Source organism: Homo sapiens, chromosome 6 (genome assembly GCF_000001405.40).
Source record: "Homo sapiens chromosome 6, GRCh38.p14 Primary Assembly".
NCBI classification, from domain to species: Eukaryota; Metazoa; Chordata; class Mammalia; order Primates; family Hominidae; genus Homo; species Homo sapiens.
The window spans coordinates 168668369-168674835 of record NC_000006.12 but is presented as its reverse complement, the minus strand read 5'-3'; the positions used below and the strand labels follow the sequence as shown (position 1 = coordinate 168674835).

General features: G+C 47.0%; 1 long non-coding RNA gene across 1 annotated transcript; it reads right to left on the bottom strand.

Moving 5' to 3' along the window:
* Window positions 1-637: 637 nt before the first annotated feature.
* On the bottom strand, window positions 638-2582 carry LOC124901467 (uncharacterized). Its single transcript, XR_007059885.1, has 2 exons — window positions 2389-2582; window positions 638-1623 (listed from the first exon to the last, which is right to left on the bottom strand). It is a non-coding gene; the product is annotated as an uncharacterized LOC124901467 (long non-coding RNA).

The window sequence follows — 6467 nt, the reverse complement described above, 5'->3', positions numbered from 1 at the left end:
TTGTGTTTGCTGGTCACGTACTAGAAATAGAGAAAATGTCTCAGAGAAGAAGATTGATTGGGTGCAAAGGGAAAGAAAGGCCAGGAGTGTCTCCCATGTCCTTTGCACATGCAGGAACGCTGGCAGCCAGTCCTTGGGAGGAACTACAAGAGTGACCAGAGAAGTATTATGGCCGGGTCCACCTCGCTGTGAGCACATGTGCATCTGACTTCTAAGAGAAAAATTCCAAAAAGGAGCCCGCTGTAATTGATTGGAAATACATCTGACTTATAATCAAAAAGGAACACTGTGGGCTCACTGCCAGACTATATGAATCTCCAGGGTTTTTCAGCACCCGAAAGGTAACCAGCTGGGATTGCTAGAAGGTCTTCCTACCCAAGTTGTACATAAGTGAATGATTTTCCTTTTAATTTTCAATCTGCATTTCATCAACAAGATAGAACACAGCCTTTATGCCTTACTCTGCAAAAAAGCAAGCTTTGTAAAACTTGTGGGTGTTTAGTATTTAACAAAAAGATAAGTTCTACATTTTTTTTTTCAGGCACAAAAGTCCAGAGAACATGAAAAATAGTATGCTCAATGCAAATGTATCAGATGACGCTTCCATGTCACCATCAGAATATGAAAAATAGAAATCTTAGAAGAAGAGTTTTTATTAACTAACAGGTATAATTAAAGACAATGGAAATAAGCATATTAAGAAGAAAATATATTCATTTAATTGTGAAGAAGATCTTCATTTGATGTCAGCTGTGAGGTCTGGACAATCCTTTGTTGAATCCAAGATTTCTGAAATGGTGTCCATTATGACTTCATTTAATGCAAGTAATTAATATTTGTCAAAAATATACCCTATGGTATCTAGAAGAATATACTTTCTAAATATTGGCATGTGTATTCTCAAAAGAAGAAAAAGCTGGTAAGACAGTGATGTGTTTATTCACATCAAACCTTCAAGCAAAGAAACTCTCAGCAGTCCCTATGGATCAATCGTGCATTACAGCTCAGCTCCACCAACACACTGCAAACAACTAAGACTCAAGGGAGCAAACAAAAACAGCGAGTTCTAGGAATGGTTGATTTGGGGTATGAAACAAAGGTGCTGTTGCTCAAACTCTGGGTGAAGGAATAATCCAAGTGGCTGACAATCATGGACACTGTTTCTGAGGTCAGAGTGGGGAATCTGTGACAGTGAGAACATAATCTTCCGTGAGTTAAGAGCTGAGGTTGACAGCGGTAAGTCGCCCACCACCTCTCCCTGCTGGACCACGAGGTTAGCGACTTTGAAAAGTTTCCTTGCTGAGGCTTCCATGATCTTCTGTTGTTGTTTTTGTTATTATCTTGCCTGGGACGTGTCTTGATAATGGTAATTAATGGCAGGATACAACTTATTTCTCAATACGCTATTTAATAGACACATTTTCTAGGCAAATAGTATAGTTGGAAAAGTCAAAAATAACTGTCACTAAGTCTCGGGGGTGAGGGAAGAGACGAAGTGACACACATTCTCTTATAACGAAACCTATTTATTATTAAACATCTTCGTAGAATATACGGAGGTTATTTTCATCCATCCATTCAAATGGTAGTTTTTGAGTGTCTTTTTCACATGATTATGAGGTGCTGTGGGGATAGAAAATGCTTAAGTTGTAGGCTGTGCGTTAAGGACCTTGTGACATACGTGTGCATGCTTAGGAAGGATTTCCTCCCAGAGATGCAGGGTTTCTAGTTCATTCCAAATTAAACAATGGCAAGAGTCGTGGGCTCCCTCTCCTTACAGGTTGGAGTATCAGAATCAACACGTTCTGCTTTTACATTTTTCCTCTTTCCCAAACTGGAGAAGGCATTTAATGAAGGGCTCAGTGTGTAGCCCAGGGTCGGAACGTCTGGAAGGTCTGAAGAAGCTGTTCAGATGCAAGGTCGGGGGAAGCCAGTCTTGGGCACGTGCACGCTCCAGGTCACACCTGTCTGCTCGGAGAAGCCAGGACTGACCACTATTTCCTTCTCACATTAAAAAACAATCTAACTACCAAGTCAACCTCCTCACTCCATCTGAAAACACATTTAAGAGGCTGAGGCAGGAGAACCCTTTGAACCTGGGAGGCGGAAGTTGCAGTGTGCTGAGATGGTGCCACTGCACTCCAGCCTGGGCAACAGAGCAAGATCCCATCTCAAAAGACATTACGTATTTTATTTTACTTTTAAAAATCCATTTCTTTTATTATAACAGGGCTCAGTTAATAAAATTACTTACCAAATGAAAAAGACCATTTTCTTAGATGAAAAAGCAAGTGAGTTGATATATTTTAAATAATAAAACTTACATCTATTACAATACTCAGAGAATCATGAATATGTACATTTGAACTAAAACATTCAGAGCCTTACCTCAGGTCACACTTTCAACGTCTCTAGAAGCAATAAAAAGACACCTTTCCTCTCAACCACAGTAGCTGCAGGAGATTGAAAGGCAATGTAAGAGCAGGCTGGGGACCATAAAAATTCCAGCTTTTGCAACAAAGACACAATCTTTGTACTGAGCATGATTTCAACTTTAACATAAGGAAGCAAAATATTTTTTTCTGAAGTTAAACATTAATAACAAGATATATAAATTTTTTTTTCCATGTAATGCACACGAATTGAATTAACTTTGAATCAACTTTGTCAGTACTTAGTAAGCATTCAGATGTCCAGAGAAAGTAAGTAGAAAAATAAGGCATTTACTTTGTATAAAAGCTGGAATAAAAATCATTAGGTGTCAAATGTACCATTAAGCCTAAACCACTGGCACCTGTGGCTCGCGTTGCCCGCGGCCTGCCCATAACCACAGTCCCTCCTCCGCCTGGCTTACAGAACTCCAATTCTTTCCTGAGCAGAAAATGTCCAGTTAAAACTCTGAAGCCAGAGACGCCAAGAAGAGACGTCAGTGGCCAGTGAAATCCAGCAGACTTCCACTAGACGGGACAGGGGAAAACTAAAATCATGAAATGTGCCATATTCTGCTTCCTGCCCTTGCTCTCCACCCTGGGTCCTGTCTGGCCAGATGCTCAAAGGCACAGGAGCCCTCTGGGCAGCGTGAGGACAAAGTGGAGGGACCAGGGCAGAGGGCTGAAGACTGTCTCCACAGAAGCAGAGGGACCAGGGCGGAGGGGTGAAGTCTCTCTCCACAGAAGGGGAGGGACTGGACTGCAGTGGTGAAACCTCCCCCGCGGATGGGAAGGAGAATAGGCACCAGGATGCAGGGGTGAAGCCTCCCCCCAGGGATGCATGACGGAGAAGAGGGACCAGGGCGCAGAGGTGAAGCCTCCCCCCAGGGATGCAGGACGGAGAGGAGGGACCAGGGCGCAGGGGCGAAGCCTCCCCCCAGGGATGCAGGACGGAGAGGAGGGACCAGGGCGCAGGGGTGAAGCCTCCCCACATGGATGCAGGACGGAGAGGAGGGACCAGGACGCAGGGGCGGCGCGGCTGGCTGCATCAACACACAGGTTCGATTTATGCCTGTCCTCTTGTTAACTGAGAAAAATAACTCGTGGACTTAGGCCACTGGGATTTGGTTTTCCATTTTCTATTTCTTATAAGCGAAGTCAATTGCTAGCACTTCTGAGGAGTCAGCATAAAATTCCCCTATCACCTTTGGAGAGTTTCCTTCTGTAGGTGGTTAAGACCTGCAATTTTGACCTGATGTGTATTGCTCAGGTTTGTGGATTCAATTTTCCCCATCCTTTATTCTCTTTCAAGAGGAAAATTCAGAATCATTTGACACAAAATGGTTCTGACACCCATATTTGAGTTCCTGATGGCCTGTGTTGAGTGCCTGTTTCACATCAGGCTTTACACGTACAATCTCCTGTTCCACGTACAGTAGCTCTGAGGGGGAGATGTCAATGACACCATTTTCTGGTCCAGGGTCTGAAATTGAGGAGGCTGGGATCCTGCGGCCTGCAGGTCATGCTGCTGGTAAGCTGGGAGGCCCCTGTTCCATTTTAGTTTAACCCCCGTATCTGCGACTTCCCACTGCCTGACACTGCCCCAGTGTGCACGCCCTTCCCCGGCCTTTCTGCTTTGTCAGAAGGAGGTTCAGCAGACAAGCGTGTGTCGATGGGAGTTTGAGTGGTGAGATTTCATAACTGTGAGGGGCGTTCTGCATCCACTCCCTGCCATAGCCCTGTGACTTGCTCTGACCCACATGACAGACTTCCCCCAGCAGATATTAGCAGACAGGCCACAGCTGAGGCTTGAAGTGTGCTTGTGCAGTCCTGCTGACTTCCTTGCATTTCAGCCGCAGCTGTGCAGGAGCCTGCCCCTCATGACCCATGAGTCCCAGAAGGATGAGACTCCAGCCCACCCGTGCCCATCCTGAAGCACACGGCCAGTTCAGCAGAGCCCAGACTACCATACTAGACCCATACTAGACTGACCAACCTCAGACAACACACAGGGATAAAGACAAAGACAAATGAGCATTGTATAATTATATATTCACACTTTTTTTTTTAATTCTTTTTTTTTGAGACAGAGCCTCACTCTGTCCCCCAGACTGGAGTGCAGTGGCATGATCTCGGCTCACTGCAATCTCCACCTCCCAGGTTCAAGTGATTCTCATGCCTTAGCCTCCCAAGTAGCTGGGATTACAGGCACCTGTCACCATGCCTGGCTAATTTTTTTGTATTTTTAGTAGAGACAGGGTTTCACCATGTTGGCCAGACTGGTCTCGAACTACTGACCTCAGGTGATCCATCCACCTTGGCCTCCCAAAGTGCTGGGATTACAGGCATGAGCCACCACACCCAGCCCATATTGTCTTTCTTGAGTAGCTTTGTTGTTTGCTTGACTCAATTGTCCAATTGGCAGCTTATGATCATGTCAGTTATTTCTGTACATTGATTCCAAAAAAAAAAAAGCTGAAAACATTCACCTGGATCATTTAAAATATTTCTGGTGTGGCAATGATGGGCATGATTTATGAGTTGGTCAGTATGCTTCTAAAATAAATGTCCAACCAAGATATTTTTGACAAAAATGCAGGCAAGCCTTTTCAGACATAAGGAGGAGAGTGGGGGATGGTTTGGGGAAGGAGGCATCTTTCACTAGAAGCAGCCACATGGCCTAGGTAAGAGAAAGATTTCTGGTTTGGATTTGCAATCTTAATATTTTGCAATAAGAACCACCTGCACCGGCTCCATGCCTCCCCACTCTCTTTCCCTTCCTATCTTTTCAAGCTCTTTCAGACTTCTTGGACACTTCATTCTCTCCTACCTACTTCAAATCCCAGTTGAAGCTCCACCTCCGCTAGAGCTTTCCCTGACAGCAGCCCTGTGCTAATGCCCTTCACAGCACTGTCTTTACTGCACAATCGTCATGGCCAATGCTAAGACAGTTTTACAAAGATCACTTTTTTTCTGAATAGAAAGAAAATTGTGTGTGGGGTTGGGGTGGGCTGGGGGAACTTACCAGGACCAGGAGGCAGTAACGAATCCTGGAGGAAGTGTGTCCCGTTAAGATGCTACCACAACAGTCCAAGGAAAACACGAGGGCCTAAGCGAGGCAGGGATGCCAGTGCGGGGGAGGGGGACGCAGGATGTTGTGGGGGGCGTGGGGTGTGGGGGAGGGGGACGCGGGGTGTGGGGGACGGGGATGCAGGGTGTTGGGGAGGGGGACCTGGGGTGTGGGGGGGGCCGTGGGGCGTGGGGGAGGGGGACGTAGGGTGTGGGGGAGGGGGACGCGGGGTGTAGGGGAGGGGAATGTGAGGAGTGGGGGGGACGCAGGGTGTGGGGGAGGGGAATGCGAGGTTGGGGATGTGGGGTGTCGGGGAGGGGGATGACGGTGTGGGGGAGGGTGACAGCAGGTGTGGGGGAGGGGGACGCGGGGTGTGGGGGAGGGGAATGCGAGGAGTAGGGGGACGCAGGGTGTGGGGGAGGGGAATGCGAGGTTGGTGGGGATGTGGGGTGTGGGGGAGGGGGATGATGGTGTGGGGGAGGGTGACAGCAGGTGTGGGGGAGGGGAATGCTAGGTGTGTGGGGGATGCAGGGTGTGGGGGAGGGGAATGCGAGGAGTGGGCTCAGGCTTCTAGTTGTATAACTTGGAGAAAAGCACCAGCTTTTTTTAAAATTTATTTTTATTTTTTTTTTTGAGACTGAGTCTTGTTCTATTGCCCAGGCTGGAGTGCAGTGGTGTGATCTCGGGTCACTGCAATCTCCCCCTCTCAGGTTCAAGTGATTCTCCTGCCTCAGCCTCACAAGTAGCTGGGATTGCAGGCACCCGCCACCATGTCCAGCTAATTTTTGTATTTTCAGTAGAGATGGGGTTTCACCAGATTGGCCAGGCTGGTCTCAAACTCCTGACCTCAAATGATCCACCTGCCTCAGCCTCCCAAAGTGCTGGGAGTATAGGCGTGAGCCACCGTGCCCGGCCACCAGCTTTAATCAAAATAAGGCACTCTTTTTGTTTCTTCTGAAGTTTCCCAT